Source organism: Homo sapiens, chromosome 8, assembly GCF_000001405.40.
Source record: "Homo sapiens chromosome 8, GRCh38.p14 Primary Assembly".
In the NCBI taxonomy this organism is placed as follows: Eukaryota; Metazoa; Chordata; class Mammalia; order Primates; family Hominidae; genus Homo; species Homo sapiens.
The window spans coordinates 101501993-101524857 of record NC_000008.11 but is presented as its reverse complement, the minus strand read 5'-3'; the positions used below and the strand labels follow the sequence as shown (position 1 = coordinate 101524857).

At 39.4% G+C, this 22865-nt stretch overlaps 1 protein-coding gene across 4 annotated transcripts in view, besides 1 other annotated feature; it reads right to left on the bottom strand.

Annotated features, from left to right (window-relative positions):
- The window catches only part of GRHL2 (grainyhead like transcription factor 2), a 188762-nt gene that overhangs the window by 156343 nt on the left and 9554 nt on the right, over positions 1 to 22865 (bottom strand). The window lies entirely within an intron of this gene.
- Positions 8593 to 8642: an enhancer, noted in NCBI's record as "active region_27730". NCBI's record gives its function as "activates an Ori minimal core promoter by ATAC-STARR-seq in GM12878 lymphoblastoid cells {active_cell/tissue: GM12878}" and the evidence as "EXISTENCE:reporter gene assay evidence [ECO:0000049][PMID:35858748]".

Sequence of the window (22865 nt, the reverse complement as noted above, 5' to 3'; positions counted from 1 at the left end):
ATGAAAATGGGTTAACCCTACCTTCAAAAGATAAATACTTTCAAACTGGATTTTTTTTTTAAAGCCAGTATTATTTTTTAAGTACCCATGATACATAAGAAAACTGACCTAATATCAGGCCATTAAGCAAGACTCTACCCATTTCAAAGAACTCTTATAATACAAACCAAATTCTCTGACCACAACATAGTTAAATTTTAAACCAACAGCAAAGAAGATGAAATTTAAAGACTATATGTTTTGAAATTATAACATAGTTTTCTAAATATTCACAGGTCAAAGAACAGCTCTTAAAGGAAGCTTTTTTTTTAATTAGAACTCCATGATAAAATACTATATGTTGTGGGATATAGATAAATCAGCACTTAGAGGCAAATTTCATACTTTAACTGCTTATGTTAGATGGGAACAAAGGCTAAAAAGTTAAAGAGCTAAGCATGTAACGTGTTAGAAAAAAATAAAAGAATTAACCTGAAGAACTTAGAAAGATGGATGTAATAAAGATAAAACAAATTAACGAAGTAAAGACTTGACAGAAAGGACAATTTAAGATGAAAATTGGTTCTTTGAAATGGCAAAGAAAACTAACAAACTGGCAAAGATAATCAAATATTAGAAAAGGAAGACAATTTTAGATGTGACAATTCTCTTCTGAAAAAAGACAATTTTGTGAATCACTTTATGCTAATATTTGAAAACAGACAAAATGGGAACATTTCTGGAAAAATATAAACAATCCAAAGTGATTCAATTATTTGGAAAGAGAAAAACAGTGATTTTTCAGTGCAGAAACCTGGCAGCTACTACCTTAACCAAGTTATACCCTGAGAGAGGCACATCTTGAAGAGAAAACATAAGACAAATCCAAATGGTGGGGCATTCTATTACGCACCTGATGATTGGTGATTATGGTAGCAACTGCGTTAAACCAATAAGTATGTGAGTCAAAACAAATAAGGTTATGAACCAGAAGAAAGCAAAACAAGTAACTTTTGGAGGTGGGATGGTGCGTGATTTGTCTTTATTTAGTGGTTTTAAATATATATATAGCTTATGCAACTGAATATAAATGGAAAAGAAGGCTGGGCCAGTGGCTCACACTTGTAATTCTAACATTTTGAGAGGCTGAGGTGGGAGGATCGTTTGAGCCCAGGAATTCAAGACCAAGCAGACAACATGGCAAAAACCCATCTTTACAAATAATAATTTAAAAAATTAGCCACACATGGTGGTGCATGCTTGTAGTCCCAGCTACTTGGGAGGCTGAGGTGGAAGGATCACTTGAGGCCTGGAGATTGAGGTTGCAGTGAGCCGTGATGTGCCACCACACTCCAGCCTGGGTGACACAGTGAGACCCCACCCCCCTTAAAAAAAAAAAAACTTTCAGTGGATATAAAAGTACTGGACTGAAGAAACAAGCTGGGACGGGTGGTAGTGGGGAACTAATAATTTTGGGTGTTTTCTCTCCATAGCATCCAACATTCTTGATTTCCTTTCCTCTGCTTCATACATAAAAGCATGGTCACAGTCATCTTTATGCAGTTCCCCTCTCCAAGGAAAGAGGTTTTTATTGTACACCTTTCTCTCTTCACCTGTATGGAAAAAAAAAAAATCCCCTTTCATTCCTTGTAAGAATAATAGATGTTGGCTGGGCGCAGTGGCTTAAGTCTGTAATCCCAGCACTTTGGGAGGCCGAGGTGGGTGGATCACTTGAGGCCAGGAGTTTGAGACCAGCCTGGGCAATGTGGTGAAACCCATCTTTACGAAAAATAAAAAAAAAATTAGCGGGGCATGGTGGCGGGTGCCTGTAATCCCAGCTACTCAGGAGGCTGAGACACGAGAATCACTTGAACCAGGGAGGCGGAGGTTGCAGTGAGCAGAAATCGCACCACTGCACTCCAGCCTGGGTGACAGAGCGAGATTCCATCTAAAAAAAAAAAGAAACAAAGAATAATAGATTTCTACTTTGTGGTCCCAATCAGTATATGAACAGAAGGCCTATTTAGAAATTAAAGTTAAAAAAAAAAGCAAGTTATATTTCATGCAACTTCAATTCCAAAACAACTCAGATATAGATGTTTATATATATATATGTATATGTGTGTGTATATATATATATGTATATGTATATGTATAAACATACTTGTATTTGTAAGGCTTGGCAATGGCCTGAGGTACTCATTTTTGTGTTTATGAATAGACCTGTAGCACACAAGTGCTGCAAAGAAATCTTCATGATCATCCACTCCAAACTTCTCATTTTACAAATAGGAAAACTGAAGTCCAGAGAGGTTATACCATTTCCCTGGGATTACACAGTTATTTTGTTAACACTGAAATAATTCAAGGACAAATTGCTGGAGGACACATATCCACAGGGGATTGGTTCCAGGCCCACAGATGCTCAAGTGTCGTATATAAAATGGCCTGGTATTTTAGGTATATAACCCATGCACATCCTACTATATACTTTAGATCACCTCTAGATTACTTATAATACCTAATACAATGTAAATGCTAGGAAAATAGTTGTTATATTGTTTTCATTTGTATTATTTTTATTGTTATTATTGTTATTATTTTTTTTCTGACTATCTTTGAAATACAGCTGGTTAGACCCACAGTTTTGGAACCTTGGATATGAAGAACCAACTGCATACTGTTGGTTAATCATTAGTCCTTTGCCAGGAAGGGGAACATCACACACTTGGGCCATGTACCCTAGAACTTAAAGTATAATAAAAATATATATTTAAAAAAAATCTTTAGTGCTTTGCAAACATATAAGCACTCTTCCATGAGGACAAAACCAAAATTACAAACAGCTTCCTACCAAAGTTTTCTTCCTCCATTCACACCCCTGCCCTAAATTTCCCACTCAGTTCATTGAACAAACCTTTATTGAGCTCCTGCTGTACTACAGGCTCTGAGCTAGGTGCAGGGGGCAGTGTTGACCAAGCCAGACACAGTCTCTCCTATTAAGGAGCATTTCATCTACGAACTGATTAGTTCAAGTCAGCTTATTACCACAGCGTTCTCTAAAAGCTAACAAAAAATTACATTTTTAAAACTTTTTTTTATAATCGGCCCTAATCCCTAGGTATATAAGTCCAAGTATAAAGATGTAATAAAAAATCTTATCATGGAAGTTATGTCTTGTTAAATAACGGAAACACTGCTACTTAAAAACCATGAAAGTTAAGATCACATTCATTCGACAGGTCTTAACTGAGCACCTACTGTGAGCTGGTACTGCTTTGAGTACTGGGATACAGCGATGAAAAAGACAGACCCAGTCTCTGCCCTGGTGAAGCTCTGACAGAAGAATATACAACTGCAGATGTGACGAGTGTTAATGAAGAAAAGTACAGGGTGCTACAAGAGAAAATATCATGGGGACCATGTGGTAGCCAGGAGCACCTCACAACACCTCCAACCACAGAAAGCATCATGGGCCAAAGATCCTGTTGCCCGTCACTGAAATTTATCACCACATTTGTGTGGAGACCACACTTCGCCATGGGCTGCTTCCAGCCAGCGATCATGTGTGGTAGGACTACCAAAGCGGCACATTCTTGGGGAACAGGGACTCCTCTGATGGCTGGCTCTGACTCAAAGACCCTCACCCCCACCCCATGGCCCTGCTGCATCTTCTTTAGACTGCACAGCAGCCCTGGAAGCTTCTGCTCAACATTTCCTCCCTCTCTTCTTCACTCCAAGTCAGACTCACATTGTTGTCTGACAGTTCCCCCACTTTGCCAGCTCCCTCTGTATTTTTTTCTCACAGGTGGTTCCCCTAATACAAGTATTGCATGAGTAATCCTATCTTAGATTATTCATCACGAAGAACTCAGACTGATGGAGGATCTAATTTAGATTGAGATGGGGCTGCTTAGGATGGGGTTACTGTGAAAGTATTCAAACACAAATTGAGACTTGCAGAAGGAGGAGGAATTTCTCAAGGAAAAGAGGAAGGAATGTCATTACAGGAACAGCATGTGCAAGGTCCCTGAGGCAGGTTGGAACTTCTCCCAATCGAAGGACTAAATGAAGGGCAGTATAGCTGGACCATAATGTTTCAAGAAGGAAGAGGGCAGTGTCTGATGAAACTTAAGAGATAAGCAGAGGCCAGATTATGCCAGGATTAGTAATTCACTTTTAGGATTTTACATTTTGTATGCTAAGTGCACAGGGTACTCATGTGAGGTCTTTAGGAAGGGAACATCTTGATCAAACTCTTTTCTGTTCAATCCATACAGAGGGTGATCTTTTAAAAACACAAGATGTTCTCTTGTGACCTTTAAAAGATCACCCTGTCTGCTGCGTGGGATTGAACAGAAAAGAGGTTGTAGGAGACCAACAAGGCAGTTACTGAAATGGCCCAGGAAGGATAAACTAAGGATTACTTTCTGCATAATGAGAAAAATCATCTTTATAAGGTCTTCCTTAAGATTCTGTAGCCCTTTTCTTTATTTCAAGGCAGTCATTATTTTCTGCCATTTTCTTTATTCAGATAACTGTCTTAAATTTTACATCTTTGTGCAAGTGGGTATTATGTCTCACTCAATTTGTAACCTCACATACTACGTGAATCAGTCTATAATCTCCTCCAAAGTTGTGTAACAGAGATACTCTATGGTAGAAATGTTGGACTCCACCTCTGTCTTTAAAGCTAAGAGAATAGATTAGAAACTTACAAGTGTTCCACAAGAAAGTAATGGGAAAGTCTGTATAAAATCCATACAAAATATGTTGCTTACACAAGATGTCCCTTCTAGAAAAGGAGATAGGGCAAACAAATTGACTTTATGATAAGTTTGATCTAAAATTAAAATGCTGGAAATAATAAAAGCCAATTAAACTTGAGTTTGCCTGATTAAAATTTAGATGGGCTTCTAATGGAACTATTAGGAAAATAAGAACTAATTATTTGTTTTTCAATAATTAGACAATAATTATAAGCACTCAAGTCCTCTAGTCCTGGATCTGTGCATGGATTTTAAAATATTCTCATTTTTAAATTGATTATTAGCAGTGAGTAGATGGGGGAGAAAGCCTTTTATCTGTATATGCATATGTTATGTGAATATACATGCACATATACATATATCTTCATATATACGTACATATGTGTGTTTGCAATACACTTAGGGTTAGGGTGGGGTGTGTGTGATGTGGATGAAGGTCATTTGTATGTTAGCTTATTTAAATTAAACCTTTACTTGAGATGATTTAAATAAATTCCAGACAATTGTTTTTTGTTGTTTCATATGCAACCATACAAAAAAAAAAAAAAAAAGCTGGTCATGGTGGCACACCTGTAATCCCAGCTTCTCTGCGGTGAGGCAGGAGGATTGCTTAAACCCAGGAGTCTGAGGCTGCAGTGAGCTATGATCACACCACTGGACTCCAGCCTGGGTAACAGAGCAAGACCCTTTAAAAAAAAATTCAAGTAATAAGTGATGAATATTTAATCTGACCTTGGATTTGGGAATAGCTATGTAAACATAAAAACAGTAGAAGAATCAATGAAGGGCCAAGTACAGTGGCTCACAGCTGTAATTCCAGCACTTTTGGGAAGCCAAGGCGGGAGGATTACTTGAGGCCAGGAGTTCAAGATCAGCCTGGGCAACATAGCAAGACCCTATCTCTTAAAATTAAAAAAAAAAAAATCAATGAAGAAAAAGTGATAACTTTGACTACAAAACTTGAAACACCTAAAAATGAGTAGAGATTTCAGGTGAAAGGCATTAGAGTAGGGCTGCATTACAAACCCACTCTCCCATAAAACCTAACAAAAATGGACAGAAATTGTGTATGTGTGTATGTGAGTGTGCAGACATCTCAAAAATTTGTCAACTGCACAGCCCCATGTCATACATTCCAACAGACGAGGCCAGTGGGGGAAATGGAAGATTTTCATACCAATGTGCCTCACAAACAGCAGCACAGGAGACAGAAGTTAAATCAACAAATTACGTAGAGTGCTTGCTAATATCCTCCCAACATGGACAGAAGCCCAAAGGAGTAGACAACACCTTAGAAAACTCTTTGAGATGTCATTACCTCCACTTTCAGACTTTAGCAGAGATGGAAAGAACTTGGGGGTCTTTCTAGTATGGGAGAAAAGAGAAGCAGCACAGAACGATCTCATACTTGCAGAGCTAACTCATTGACTTGGAGTGAATCGTTCTGTTGAAGGGACATTGATCAGTGCATAGAAAGAAAACATGTGGCATGGGTGATGAGCAGGGAGGCAATGGCAAAAATAGCTGAAGACCAGGCACTGCAGAATGGTTGTATTATATTCTTGTAACCAAACACACCAGAAGTCAAGTGGAGTTCCTACAAGTGAGGAGGTGATCCTGTATGGGTACTACTCCTGGTACCCTGGAAATGGCTGCCCATCCCTATACTAGGGATTTTATTTATTTTTTCCTTTCTTTGAGACACGGTCTCACTCTGCTGCCCAGGCCAGAGTGCAGTGGCACAATCACAGCTCACTGCAGCCTCGATCTCCAGGCCTCAAGTGATTCTCCTACCTCAGCCTCCCAAGTAGCTGGGATTACAGGTGCATGCACCATCACGCCCGGCTAATTTTTTGCATTTTTTGTAGAAACGGGTTTTTGCCACGTTGACCAGGCTGGATTAATGATTTTCTAATAGGGAAAGTCACAAGGAGGTGGAGGATATGATTATTAGAGGCAGGGAAGTATGTGATATGGGGGAAGATTCACAGAAGAGTTTAGGAAAAGGCTGCTATACTGTGGACGAAGTCTCAGATCAGAAGGGTGAGCTGTGTTACAGGAGGGAAGAGTGTGTGGAGCCTGAAAGCTCTAGAACTTCTAGAACCCTGCAGTTACATGGGCTCTCCTGCTGGCCATGTGATGTAGTGGGAATAAGCGAGGTGCTGGTGAGCCCGAGTTGCCTGTCTCTTCTATCTGGTGTCACTGCTGCACAAAAATGTGGAGTTCTCTCTCCCAGGTTCACTCATATCAAGCAGGTGCTAGCCAAGCAATCCTGTTAGAAAGTCAGGTAGGGTTGCAAGAAGCATAAAGCCTTAAAGCTTTCTAGGAACTATAGCTGCTTAATTACATTTGTGATGCTTGCATCAAATGACTGCAAACGGACATGAAAGTCTGAAGAAAAAACAAAGGTCAGTGTTGTACTTTTTATATTGTCTGATGCTCTATGAAAGCCTCATCTTGTCTACATTGTCTCTGAGGAAAGTGAGAATTTTTTTAACTACACAGACTCCCCAACAACTGTTGGAATATTGCCCAAGGAAAGTGTCTTGCAGAGCTGAATCAAATACAAAATGCAGCCTGATTTTGTTAGCAGAAAGAGTCCACTAGACTGACAGCACAGCCCTTTGCGCTGGTGGCCATTAGTGGCTTGCTTAATGTTATTGTGGCAGCTGCCTGGACACTTTCCCTGCACTCTTTGTTGTCCTGGGGGTACTGGTCCATCCAGAGGGGTTAGGCTGAGTGGAAGGAGGCGTCCATGAATCATCCTCAGCAGAGAATAGGAACTTAGCAAAACTGAAAACAAAATGGGAGATAAATGCAGTAAGACCCTTTGAAGGAAGGAAAACTGGGAAGGGGGCAGGGAGAAGACTGCTGAAAGCCCCGGATGAAGTTCCATAAGAGTTTTCCACTGTGAGTTATTGACATGGCTCCAGTATCCCCAGCTTCCCTTTACTTTTAGCCCTAGTGACTAGGAGATGTGAAGGTGGAAAGGGGAGATGTGAAGAGCCAAAGCGACGGTCCTCAATCGAAGCAGAGGCCCCAGGACTCCATGATCAAGCAGAGGACTGACCTAAAACCCAAAGGCATCCCACCACAGGAACAGGATGATGCTGTCCTGCAGATATGGAGTGAACTTGATCCAGAACATTTAACCAAGGTATGTGAGTTTTCCACCCTGCCACACCTTCAAATGCCCAGGCTTTTCACTGGCCTTAAAAGTCCATGCAAGCAGGTTTCAGATGGTGGCAATAAGTGAAGAAACAATTGATTCATGCAAGTGGGTTGTGGCAGAGCCAAACCTTTATCTTCATGGTTGGAAGTGAATAGATAATACGTAAAATGATAGATCAAGAAATAGCAGTATTTATTTCTGAGACATATGGAGGTAAACAAGAAGTAATAGGTCCGGGTGCGGTGGCTCATGCCTGTAATCCCAGCACTTTGGGAGGCCAAGACAGGAGGATTGCCTGAGCTCATGAGTTTGAGACCAGCCAGAGCAACATAGTAAGACTCAGTCTTTACAAATTAGCTGGGCATGGTGGCATGTGCCTGTAGTCCCAGCTACTTGGGAAGCTGAGGTGGGAGTGTCCCTTGAGCCTGGGAGATCGAGGTTGCAGTAAGCCATAATCACACCATTGCACTCCCTCCAGCCTGGCCACAGAGGGAGACCCTGTCTCAAAAAAAAAAAAAAAAAAAAAAGGAAAAGAGGTAAAAAGAAATCCAGTACAGTTGCTGGAGATCAGAATCAGAGAGAAGAGTAGGGGAAACTACTATTTTTTACAGATTGTTTTAAGTATGATTTGATATTTTGAACTAAATATACTTCTTTGATAAAAATTAAAATTATATTTTAAGAAAATATTATGTGGGTCATTTGCAACATGTCTGCAGCCCAGAGGCAGTCTGTGGTTGTCAGTTGTCAACCACTAAACCACCAGGTTTCTGGAGGGAGGCAGTAGGCAAATGGGCACCGGACCTCCTGAGAAGCAGGAGATCAAAACCCCATTTGGTCCCTTTTCAGGAAACAGGCAGTGAAGCATGAGGTTACATTCATAGACCACAGAGTCAGACCACAGGGTTCAAGTTCCATCTCTGCTGCCTGTCAGCCCTGTGACCTCTGACAAGCTACTGAGCCAACCTGCGCTCCCATTTTCTCATGAACCCTCACAGATGTCATTCGAGAATTGAGTTATCCATGGACAGTGCTTAGAGGGGTGCCTGTGACACACTACGTACAGTAACTATGAAAGAGCTTGATATTAACATTATTGTAAAGTGCAATATTCTTAAGCTGTCTTTGGTAGACTACAGTGGCCCCAACACCAGTCAGCTGGCAAAAGACAGGAGGAGTTTGTAATGGGAAACTCGCCAGAGAGGAAGGGAAGAGGAAGGTCAAGCTGACCTCTTAGGTGCAATCCCCAGGCTTTCCTGGACACCCTATCTCCTTGATCCTGGAAATCACCCCCCATCCAACCTCTGCACTGCGGGCATGCCTCACGGGAGAAAGGCTTCCATGTGAAAACACTTAAGCTGCCTCTCACTGAAACATGAAAATGCAGTGCCCAGCATGCAACACGTCTTGGTTTTCAACAGACTCTGAAGGGTGGAAAGAGCAGAAATGGCAGGAGAGACATAGGCTTCCTGGTCCCATTTTACATTTTCTTTTTCCTCACTATATTGTAACAAGGACAGAATCCGTGACTTAAGTAAACCTGTAGTTCCTGAACTTGTCAACAATGAGACAGGACTCTGGGAAGAAAGACATTCTCAGGCTGGGAGAGGGGAAGAGGATGTTGAACTGTGGAATGTAAGCATCATAAGACATTTTTTAAATTTGTAAGAAAAGCTGATGAAGTAGGAAAAGTGATGGCCACACCCCAACCTCATATATAATATTAATGTGTGTGTGTGTGTGTGTGTGTGTGTGTGTGTGCAGAGAGACAGAGAGAGAGAAAGAGAGAGGGAGTTGAGTCTATTCTCTCTTTCCTACTTCAAGACCTCATTGCAGTGATCCCTATAAGGAGGGAGGGAGGGAGGTAGGAACAAGGGAAGGAAGGAAGGAAGGATGGAAGGAAGGAAGGAAGGAAAATGAAGGGGGGAAGGAAGGGAGGAAGCAGGAAAGGAAGGAAAGAAGAAAAGGAAGGGAAAGAAAGGAAAGGAAAGGAAGAAGAAAAAAGGAGAAGAAGAAAGAACAAGGAGGAAGAGAAGAAAGGGGGAAGGACAGAGAGTAGAGGAGGAAGGAGAAGAGGAGGAGAGAGAAAAGTGAGCATGGAAGTGGAACTTAAAGGTTGAGACTTTCTCCCTCAAACAGAGAGCCCCATCCTAACATTCGTCTGCCTAAACATCTCTGGAAATAAGTCACTACCTGAAAAAGCTCTTCATTCCACTGGCAGAAAGCTCGAGTTGTTAGGAAACTTTCACTTTGTGGCAGCCACTAGCAGGCACCTTGCAGCACTCCAGCTGCCGGGAGAGCAGCTGCCCATGGGCCCAGCTGCAGCCAGGCCTCCCACGGGCTGCTCCCAGCCAGAGGTTGTACTGACCCAGATTCCATGGCAGATGCAGGACTCCTCTGATGGCACAAAATAAAGGACTCCTAGGGCTTTGAGGAAGCTTTCTTAGACTGCTGGGTACCTCTCCAGCCCTTGGGCTGGGCTTGCCTCAGAGTCTGGGGGCTCTCCTTCCCTTGCGTAGCTCCCCTACTCCATTCCCTCACAGGTGCATTCCCTTAGTAAGATCCTCGCATGTTTAACCTCATCATGGTGTCTGCTTCTTGGAGCATCTGGACTAACACATACATAAACTGAGACAAAGTCTCTTTGTTTTCACTTATTGGTCCCAGTTCTATCCACAGGAATCACTGTGTAAGTCTAATGTACTGTGGCTCCAGTTTTTCTAGCCAAGTATTCATAAAAGCACTGAACTGTCCTGTGTGTGTGCACATATGGGTATGAGCATGTAAATGTATGTGTATGTGTGTAAGAGTGGGGCTGGGGTGAAGAGAATAGCAGGAGAGGTAAAATCTGATGAAGAAAGGGTGAGAAGACAGACCCAGTGAGATAAGGGAGACCTGAAGCTGATGACTTCCTGTAAAACATAAATGCTGAAACTTCGCCTTAGTGTGAAAGCCTCGGCAGATACACAAAGGGAGCATAGAAGACATTGAAAGGTTAGTCAAGGACTTTCATGGGCCCAGCAACCTTCAAGGAATAGATAATTTCAACATTGTTTGAATTGTTGCAGCGCATAATAAAGCACGGAAAGTTTCCCAGCTCATTAAAATCAGCTGGTATAACACAGATATCAAAATGCACAATGGCCAGGCGCGATAGCTCACGTGTGTAATCCCAGAACTTTGGGAGGCCAAGGTGGGAAGATCACCTGAGGTCAGGAGTTTGAGACCAGCCTGGCCAACATGGTGAAACCCCTGTCTTTACTAAAAATACAAAAATTAGCCGGGTGTGTTGGCGGGCACCTGTAATCCCAGCTACTAGGGAGGCTGAGACAGGAGAATCATTTGAACCCAGGAGGTGGAGGTTGCAGTGAGCTGAGATCGAGCCAATGCACTCCAGCCTAGGTGACAAGAGCAAAACTCCATCTCCAAAAAAAAAAGCACAACGATAGCCTGCACCCACATACACAGAGACACATACACACACCCAGGAAAGAGGAGACCCGTGTCAGTTACAATAACAACAATGAGAACATTTACTGAGTGTTTACCATGTCTCACAGACTGTTCTAAGGGTTATATACCTCACCATAATGCTGGGAGGCAAGATCTCTCACTATTATTCCCTTCTTATAGATGAGAAACTAAGAGAAATTAAGTAATTTACCCAAGGCCACAACCCCAGTAAGTAGTGGGATCGTGATGAATACAGACATAAAATCCTCAGAAAAATATTGATGAACTGAACCTATTATTTAAACAACTACTACAACAACAACATGACCCTGTAAGGCTTATCCCAGGAATGCAAAACTACTCAAAAAAAATTAGGAAATTTATTGATTGATATCACTATATTAAGAAAACAAGGGGAAAAAAATATAAAAATTATTAACAGCTGCAATAAACTGAATGTTTGTACACCCCTAAAATTCATATGTTGAAATACTATCCCTAATGTGATGGCATTTAGAGGTGGAGAGGCCAGGAAACTAGCCAGCTAAGAAGAAGGACTTCACCAGAGCCCCTCTGTGCTGGCACCCGGATCTCAGACCTTTAGCCTACGAAACGGTGAGACATCAGTTTCTGTTGTTTATAAGCCACCCAGTACTTTGCTATAGCAGTCTGATTGCACTAAGACAATAGCCAAGAAACCAACGGCACCATTATGCTCAACAGTGAAATACTGAAAGCATCCTCTGCCAATCCCGACCAGCGTAATAAAAGAGAAAGATTTAAGAAATCAAAACACAGCCTGGCCAACATGGTGAAACCCCGTCTCTACTAAAAATACAAAAATTAGTCAGGCATCGTGGTGCACACCTGTAATCCCAGCTACTCGGGTGGCTGAGGCCGGAGAATTGCTTGAACCCGGGAGGCGGAGGTTGCAGTGAGCTGAGATCATGCCACCGCACTCGGGCCTGGGTGACAGAGTGACACTGTGTCTCAAAATGTAAATAAAATAAAACATATTTAATAAGCAAAGATACTTCTTAAAATAGTACCAAAAAGATAACATATTTTTGGATAAACTTTTAAAAGTAAATATAATAAAAGTGCAAGTTCTAATGAAGAAAATGTTTAATGATACTGAGGAACATCAAAGATGATTTAAATAAATAGAGCAAAACGTATTTGTTTTTATAGGAATGCATGATGTGAATAAGATATCAACTCTATACTAAAGTTATTCATAAAGTTTAATGAATCCCTTCCCTTCTCCTCACTCTCAAATCAGGTTTTCTTAAGAACTACAGAAGCTGATTCCAGTTTGCATTAAAAAAAAAAGGCAAAATAACCAGAGAGATTTTTTTAAAGTAGACTAATTAGATGGCACAACATTTCCAGATATTAAAACATTGTATAAACTTAAATAAATAGTTGCTTCATAGGCATAAATAGATCAATGTAACACACTGAAGAGTTAAAAAATAGTCTTAAATACACAAAGGAATTTAATCTATAATAAAGGCTGGATTTCAGACAAGTGAGGGAAATATTATGTATTGCTTAATAAATGGCATTGGCAGAATAGTTTGGCCATCTAGAAAAACAATTATGTAAAGACCTCACCTCATTTCTTCATTGAATAAATTTCAGGTGGATCAAAGCTTTTAGTGGAAATGTGAAACCACAAAAGAATAAAATAAATAGAATGATAGAATAAAATTTAGGAGAAATTTGCTTGGGGGAAAAGTTGTCTGTATTTAATTTTAGAGCAGAGAAAGCCTTCTTAAGCAAGGCATAAAACCTAGAAGATATTTAAAAAAAAAAAAACTAAAAACAAGATGAGGCCGGGCACAGTGGCTCATGCCTATAATCCCAGTACTTTGGAAGGCCAAGGCAACGGGCAGATCCCCAGGTCAGGAGTTCAAGACCAGCTTGGCCAACATGGCAAAACCCCATCTCTATTAAAAATACAAAAATTAGCCAGGTGTGGTGGCACACGCCTGTAGTCCCAGCTACTCGAGAGCCTGAGGCGTCGCTTGAGGAATCACTTGAACCCAGGAGATGGAGGTTGAAAAAGACTGATAAGATGCACTGCTGGGATGGTAGGCAGCAATAAGCATATTTGACCATTATTGATTGGATTATAAATTCAAGTAGCATTTTTGGAGAGCAATCTATCAAAGGCTTCAATATGCTTAGCCTTTGCCCCAAAGGTTCCGCTTCTATGAATTTGTCCTTTAGTCACTTGTATATTCTTCATGTGAAATATCATGCAACCCAAAAAATGAAGTGACTGTATTATTGATATGGAACTATCAAAATCATAAAACAACATGTATAAAATTATTTTTGTAAATAATAAGGCAAGTGAAAAAAAATTTTTTTTTTTTGAGACGGAGTCTTGTTCTGTTGCCCAGGCCGGAGTGCAGTGGCACGATCTCCACTCACTGCAACCTCCACCTCCCAGGTTCAAGCGATTCTCTTGCCTCAGCCTCCTGAGTGGCTGGGATTACAGGCATGCACCACCATGCCTGGCTAATTTTTTTGTATTTTTAGTAGAGACGGGGTTTCGCCATGTTGGCCAGGCAGGCTGGCCTCAAACTCCTGGCCTCAAGTAATCCACCTGCCTCAGCCTCCCAAAGTACTGGGATTACAGGTATGAGCCACCACGCCCGGCCGACAAGTGAAAAATTTTAAAACTCTCAAATGCATGCGCACTTATATGTGGTACAATGCCTAGAAAAACATCTGGAAGAATATCCACAAAAATTGTTAAAGTTCTATTGAAAGTGGTAGGAGAGAAATATAAAAGGGAAGTTTATCTTTTTTCTCACTAAATTGATAGTTATTGTGTAATAACATATATTTTTTAATATTTGTAAATTTTAAGCTAGGAAATTCTACTTGTAGAAATTCATTCTAGGAAATGATCAAAAAATCTTTTTTGTTCGCTCACTGGCCCTTAATTCAGGAATATAAAAATCTTGAAAGATTTTATGCCTAAGGATTTGTATAGAATTATGACTTTATAATAGTGAAAACTCTAGCAACAACCTACATGTAACCTAAATGTAAGTCAATGATGATAAATCCACTGTATATAATGCTCTGCTGACATTAAAATATTTACTGAAAAAGTCATAAAACTCATGGACAAATACTTATAGAGTTAGTTTGCAAAAAATTAAAAATATGGCTAGTTGCAGTGGCTCATGCCTGTAATCCCACCACTTTGGGTGGCAGAGGTGGGCTGATCACTCGAGCCCAGGAGTTCGAGACCAGCCTGGGCAACATGGTGAAACACCATCTCTACAAAAAATACAAAATTCAGCTGGGCATGGTGGTGTGAGCCTGTAGTTCCAGCTACAGCTACTCAAGAGGTTGAGGTGGGAAGATCATCTGGGCCTGGGAGGTCAAGGCTGCAGTGAGCCGAAATCACACCACTGCACTCTGCTCTAGGCAACAGAGTAAGACCCTGTCTCAAAATAAATAAATAAATAAATAAAAATATGCAATACAACCAATTACTTAAAGATTACCCTTCATTTACTTAAGTGCTTTATAGGTTTTATGGAGGAGAACCATTATTTGTTGCTTGCAAGTGGTTGACTTCCTAATCAAGCAATTCTTATATTTACAGCTTCAAGAACATTTTGTAAAAAAAAGTAGGAGAAGATATAGCTTGGATCACATGAAATCCTAGATAATCTAAGAATGTATTTAAAATAGTAAGTTTAACCTTCTACTAGAATTAAGTATGTTTTCCCCTTAATCAGTAGCCAAACTAATTAAGCTGAATTTTTCTGTTCATGCCCTCTCTGCAAGATTTGTAGAGGAAAAAATATATATATATCTAAAAGGCTAACCATAAGAGGAAAATTGAAGAAAATAGCCTCAATAATTCACAAACCAGATAATGAGCTCCTGATTAAAGCAGCTGGCTCTAATGCCATCAACACTTTTAAGACAAATTCTTAATTGCCCTACATGTTTTAATGTTGTATCTCAGTTTAGAAAAGTACCAAATTACTTCCATAAATTGCCATTTTCCACAGATGTTATGTTTAACATTATAAGCAACATGCATGTGACAGATGTTTTAACCCGCAGCTCTAGGAAAGGTTTTTAATATGAAGTTTAATTGCAGGGCCCTGGAGCCTTATCTTTGAAAAGTGACTTCATTTTAAATAGCCCTACTATTTAGATAAACAACCAAAGTGTTTCTTAACCACTAATAGGCCAAAACACACACACACACACACACACACACACACACACACAAGAAGAAAGAAAGAAAGAGAGAAAAGAAAGAAAGAAAAAGAAAGAAAGAAAGGAAGGAAGGAAGGAAGGAAGGAAGGAAGGAAGGAAGGAAGGAAGGAAGGAGAGAAAGAAAGAAAGAAAGGAAAACAAACAAACAGGGAAGGGATGAAAGCCTGACCAAGCCTGAGAAATGAAAAATAGTGGCAGACCTTTGAAATCGAAATAAAAGTACAAAATTTGAAGACTCACACTGTCTTGCCTCATTCTGGACCTGCCTCCACATTTCCCACAACTAATTATCTGAAGAATGGAAGGTAAATGTGCAATTGCTTTTTTTTCCTAAATTATGTTTTTTCTAATTACAATCTTAAACCTTGACCTAACTGTCTCATCTTTGGGGTCTCTGCATTTAGCTTGGTGCCCAGCTTTGTGTCTGGCTATAGGCACTCTATAAATCATATAGTCAAATAGGCTTATGTGGTGGCCACTCATTTGTTGTCGTTTGGATGTATTCATCCTGAACTCATCCCGAACTCACCCTTGACTAGGTACCTTGAATTTGTGGTCATTGATCAGGGGACTTTAAATGCTGATCTGAGTCACTGCTTTCATTGGCAAAGGAATGAGGGCTGTGAATTGGGGATTGTTCTCAGACCCAATGACGTACTGAGAGAAGAGATCATGGCTCCACACTCTGCTAACAAACTCTTTTTTACTGACTATAAATGCTCTACAGCTGAACTCTGTACAAAACCCTAAGCACTTTCAAGATCTCAAAATACTCTCTATATATTTAAAGCAAACAAAGATAAAGCTCTCCCGTGATGAAAAAAAAAAAAAAACCTGAGTAAATGGAAAGAAATGCAATTCAGAACAAGTACCATTTTTAATCTACCAAATTGGCAAAGACTAAAGAGAGGATTATAATATGCATTGTTAGAGACGGAATGTGGAATTCTACTCTCAGATACACCATTGGTGGGAGTGTTAATTAGGAGAAAATATATGGATGGCAATTTGGAAATATGAACCAAATGTCTTCAAAAAGTGCGTACCTTTTGATTAGGAATTTCTATTCATTGGAATGTATTTCAAAGAAATAACTAAGAAGTGTGCAAAATTTAGTGATAAGGATAATCATTCAAGGCCAAGCACGGTGGCTCACGCCTGTAATCCAAGCACTTTGGGAGTTCAAGGCGGGTGGATCTCTTGAGACCAGGAGTTCGAGACCAGCCTGGCCAACATAGCAAAACCCCAATATTCCTGCTGAAAATACAAAAATTAGCTGGGCATGGTGGCACACATCTGTAATCTCAGCTAAGAGATTCAAGAGGCTAAGGCACGAAAATTGCTTGAACCCGGGAGACGGAGGTTGCAGTGAGCTGAGACTGCACCACTGCACTCCAGCCTGAGTGACAGAGTAAGACTCTTGTCTAAAAAAAAAAAAAAAAAAAAAAAAAGGGATAATCATTCAAGTATTGACCTTAGTAGTAAAAAACAGGGAAAAATCTAAATATACAACAAAGGAGAAATGGTTAATTTGGATATTTTTACCCAGTGTAAAACTATTGGGCCATTAAAAATATTTATTGTCATGGAAAGCTATCTGTAATAAGTATCAATTTAAAAAATGTTACTAAACAGTATATAAATCACTATCTTATCTTTTCATACATAGTGTAATTGTATATACATGCACAGAAAAGGGAGTAAAAATATAGATTTCAAATTGTTAACAGTATTAACATCTCTGAGTGGTAGAAAAGTGTTATTTTCTGATACTTTTACATTTAAGTATAAATTAACTACCTCTTATAGAATATTTTAAATAACACTAAAAAAAGGGTAAAATGAAAGAAAAAAATTTAATGAGTAAAATCCATAGATTAATCTCAAGCTTTCCATATGTGAAAGGAATGAAAGTACTCACACATACATAAGACCAAAATATTTGACATTTAAAAATTTAAACCTCTGAACATTTTTAAATCTTGAAATTAAAGTAACAAGTTGAAATGATAGCCAGGATTTTAACAAAAGGGTTAATAGTTTTAGGTGCAAAAAGAGCTCTCACAAGTCAATGATAAAAATATGAGTATCTCAATTTATTTTTGAATAAATGAAAAATAAGAACAGGCCTCTGTTAGCCCATAGGGTGCAACTGTACAAATGTTGGAAGGTACAACTTTGGGTAGACGCCAGAGGGGAGCACAGCTGGATCTCAGCCCCAAAGTCCCCCTCAGCCAAGTTCCCTCTCCTCCAGAACATAACACAATCATAGGTAGTAGCCAGGGTAAAAGCAAGAGCTTCACTAAAAAGAAATACAAATTACAAAATAAAAATCTGAGAAAATGTTTAATCTCTTTAACTATCAAATTGCAATTTTTTTTTTTTTGCCTTGCAAATAAACAAATTACAATTGTCATTTACTGGTGAGACAATGAGAAAAAGACACCCTCAAACACTGTTGGTAGAACACAAATTGTTAAAATCTTTCTAGGAGTCATTTTCAAATTATGTATCAATGACCTAAAAATATTTATGTCTCCTGTTCTTATACTTCCAGAAATCTATTCTACAGTAATAACCGGAGATAAAAACCTTTACATATAAACATGATTTATTATACTGAAAAGTCAAAACAACATAAATATTAAAAATAGGAGGTGGTAGATTTCACCTTTAAATGCTATGTACGAGAATACTTAAGGGATTGGTAAAGTACCAATAGTATAGTATTAAGTGGAAAATGCAGAATGGCATGAATGATGTAAAAAAGAGAATCATAATTTGCACACTCTTTGTAAAACCACATTGATATACTATGCATGCACATATTAGAAACTGTAAGAAAAGACAAAGTATTAACAGGGTGCTGGAATTATGAGTGATTTTTCTTCTAGATACTTGTTTCTATTTTCCAATTTTTCCCCATAAGCATATATTATTTTCATAACCAGAAAAAGAAACCTCCCAGGAAATGCTTCTTTAAAAAGTAAACACATACAATGCAAAACTGTATCATAAAACAGTTGCAATAAAAGTCAGCCTGGGCAATAGCATTGAAAGCTAGGAGGCAGGTCATTCACAAATGCTTCACAACAGCAATTTATAAAATAATTCATTAAATATGCAGTACAATAAAAATCTCTGTATCATAAAAACATTTTCAACTTCTTCCACACTCTAGAACTATTTGCTACAATGACAACATCAAAATCTAGTTAGCCCTGAAAGCTCTAAATAGCATGTTTAATTTTGTTCTTCTTTCCAAGCACACTTGGATACGCTGCAGCGGAAAAACTTGGAGCTTGTAATTCAACGTGTCCTGGGATTCGACCACATGGGTATTTTATTGCTTAGGAAGGATTATGAAGGCTAACAAGCATAACGATACTACTGCTGCACCAGTTCAACTTCAGGATGTTAAAAGTGATAAACGACTTGTGTCCCAAATTTTGTGAACAAAATCGAAATGCAAATTTGTGTTTTTCATGTGGCTGAATATGATACAAAACATACCTTATAGAATGTTTGCTAAAACTAAAGATAAACACAAGATAAAAGGAGACTGTAGTCCTTCCCTCAACCCTCCCACAAGCCCCGTAAGGATAGGTGCCTTTATTTACACTGTTTTTTTTTTTTTTTTTTTTGAGACAGAGTTTCACCCTTGTTGCCCAGGCTGGAGTACAGTGGTGCAATCTCGGCTCACTGCAACCTCCGCGTCCCAGGTTCAAGAGATTCTCCTGACTCAGCCTCCCGAGTAGCTGGGATTACAGGCATGGACCACCACATCCGGCTAATTTTGTATTTTTAATAGAGATGGGGTTTCTTCATGTTGGTCAGGCTGGTCTCAAACTCCCGACCTAAGGTGATCCACCCGCCTCGGCCTCCCTAAGTGCTGGGATTATAGGCATGAGCCACCACGCCCGGCCCATTTAGACTTTTAACATCCGAAGAACATCATGATTTTTTAAAAATATTAGATATAGTATTTGAGGTTTGAAGAATTTCTATACAATATGAAGAAAAGGATGGGGGAGGGGAGGGCCAGTTGGGAGTGGGAGAGAAGGGGCAATTGCAAATTCACTTTTGAGCACACGGCCAAAATGTATACCTACTAGTTCCTGTTTCACCACCTCTGTGTTTATTCCGCAGCCGAAGATTGCTTTGGTTTTGCTCACATTTTACAAAAGTTCATTTCCACCTTTTTTTTGTTGTTGTATTTTTAGCCTCCTCTTTTTTTTTTTTTTTTCCTAATGCAATGTTGGCAACTTCAGTGACTCTGGGAGGCCAGTTTCCCCAGCAAGTTCCCATCAGGTACTTTTTGTTCCCTGCTGTGGATGCTTCTTGGATAGGTTGATAAGCAAAGAAGTTCACGTTGGCGACAACACTTCCATTAAAGACGCGTGCAGTAAATCCTATGATGCAATCTCCTGCAGCTTAACTAGCAGACCCAAGCTGGTCTGGCATGATCTATGCACCAGCTTGCAGAAGCAGTCAGATGAGTCACTGTGTGGCCCTCCAGGGAGAAGCAAGTCTATACTCTAAAAAAAATATAAATTTTTATTCTAGAAAATACAAAAAAAAAACCCGACCTTGCCTACAACTACCTTTTGTTTTTAAAGGAAGTCATATTCCAGGCTCTCCCTGTCCCTTCAAAAAAGCTCAAAACTGGACCCAACACCAAGTCTCTCCCATGAACATTCAGGCGGGGTCTGAGGTGGTGAGGCCAGCAGGTTTGCCTCGAGAGAGTTTGCTTCAAGTGAAACTCCATAGGCACATGCAGCCCACTGAGTGGAACAAACTGAGTTTCTTTCATTCTTAGTCATTCCTCAGCTTCAAATTATACACATGTTGGAAACTTATACACCTACTTTTGCTATTTTGAAAAATCACTGGATTTAATGATTGGACTTAACACATATGCAAATCTAAAAGGACAAGGTTGTGGAGACACAGATAATGAATCTACAGGTCACTAAGGAATAGCACAGAACCGACAGGCAGCATGCCAGCGTGAAGGGCAGCGTGGCATTCCTGGGACAGAGAGGAGAGGGCAGGGATTTCTGCAGGGGATCGGGTCAATTCTACCTGCAACAAGCAAGCAGCAAGTAGGCTTTTCCGTTTTATTTAGAGAAGTGTGTATTATTCTTAAGTGTCTCCACTTAATAACTATTTTTATATACAACCTTTAATTTTTTTAAATACATACATACATAAATACATAAATGCATAAATAAAATTTATCCTTAATTACAAAAGCAGTGCAAGCTCACATCAGCACAATAGGAAAACACAGAGAAACACTAACAGACAAAAAAGTACCTTTATTTTATACTTAAGAGAGAAAACCACTGTTAACTTTTTGTGTTTTTTCTGAATTCTTTATTCTTCATCTTTTTATGCCTATAAACATTCTGATATAATACATCATGAACACTTTCTCTTATCATTAAGGATTTTTTCATTAATGTGATGTGTAATGCTTGCATAGTGTCCCATCATCTCACTAAACCATGATTTACTAAACCAACCCTTGATAGCCAGGCTTTTAGGGTTATACTGATTTTTCACTTTTAAAAATCATGTGGCACTTTATATCTTTAGTTATGTCTTTAAGACAAATCCCTGAAACTGGAATTTAGTTATCAATGGGTAGACCCATTTCAACCAGTTTTGCCAAACTGCCTTCCAGAAAGTTTATGATAAATTATAATACTCCAAAAATATATTTTACCCGAACCCGGTTTTGTTAATTTTAGCCACTTTGACAGAGAAACTTAGAATATCTCTGTTATATCATCTGTATTTTCTTATCACTAATACAGCTTACAGCTAATATTATTTTCTGTCTTTATTAGCCACTTATACAGCTTTTACTAATTGTCTACTCATGCTCTTTGACCACCTTTCTATTGAGGTATTTGTTCTTTTTAAAATTATTTTCCAAAATATGTAAGATACACATATTCTTAAAAGTATACACCAGGACTCCAGAGCAACTTAAAAATCCTAGTTTGCAGAGGAAACATAAATGTCCTGTGACCTAATCAAAATTCCCTCCAACATGAGAACCTTTCAGGGGCAATTGACTTCAGAAAAAGTCGACTTCAGAGACTTTTAAATTCTATAACACAGTAGGATACCAGAGGAGATTTTATTCCCGACCTAAATAAATGATCATTGTGTGCCCTGAAGTGAAATAATATATTACCTTATCCTTGAAGTGAAACTGCGGCTGCTATTCTTATCCTTATATTATTTGAAATCTCTTCTGAACATTTACTAAACTATTCACTTGGCAATATTTTTTGACAGTGGGTGTCTGTGAATTACATTTTATTAAAAGGAGTAATAGGGAAAGGGAGAAGGGGGAGAAAGAAAAAAAAGAAGGAGAAGGGGACAGAGAAGAAGAGAAGGAGAAGAAAGAGGATGAGGAAAAGGAAGAGGAGGAAGAGGAGAAAGAATAGGAGGAAGAGGAGGAGGAGGAGGAGGAGGAGGTCATCCCTTTCACCTACTTAAGGTTTTCAGCTTACTAAATTTTAGTCAATGTTCCATTCATTCTTATATTGCCTCACTCTCACTCCATGAGCCTGCCAGAATGAACACTTCCTGGGCTGTCTCTGGGAAGAAGTTCTCAGCGTCCCTGCCAGCCCATTTTATCTGATTTTCTTGTACCACTTTTCTACCATCCCAGCAAGGCTGTGCGGGAGTCCGCTAGTTAAACCATTGATTTCACTGCCTTGCTGCCCTTCTGAATTCCATGTGATCCTCTGAATTCCTCCTGCCTTCCAAAAGTCTGCCATCTGAATCAGACCACCGTTGATTTTGGTGAAGGAGGTGAGGGGGCTTGGGAGCAGAAGCAGGTCCCACTGTGCCTGTAACCTCCTGTCTTGCTAATGTTCATGGCCCCTGCTGTGAGCCACCACCAGCCCAGACCCCTCTGGAGGGAGAAAATGAGACACAGAATATAGGAGCAGGTAATTATTCACGGAGATCATTTAGTTCAATTCCATTTTACAGATGAAAAATAATGAAAGAAGAATCTTCTGATCTTATGTTAATTATCTTATTGGCAATGCAGGAAAGAGGCAAAAGCTACCTTTGTTCCTTGTTTCTTTGAAAAGTTAGATCCAAGAAGTACAGAAGGCAGTTATTTTATGGGACTCACTGAACTGAGAACCAAAAAACAATGATTTGGGGTGAGTGTGGGAAGAAAAGTCAATTTTAACTCC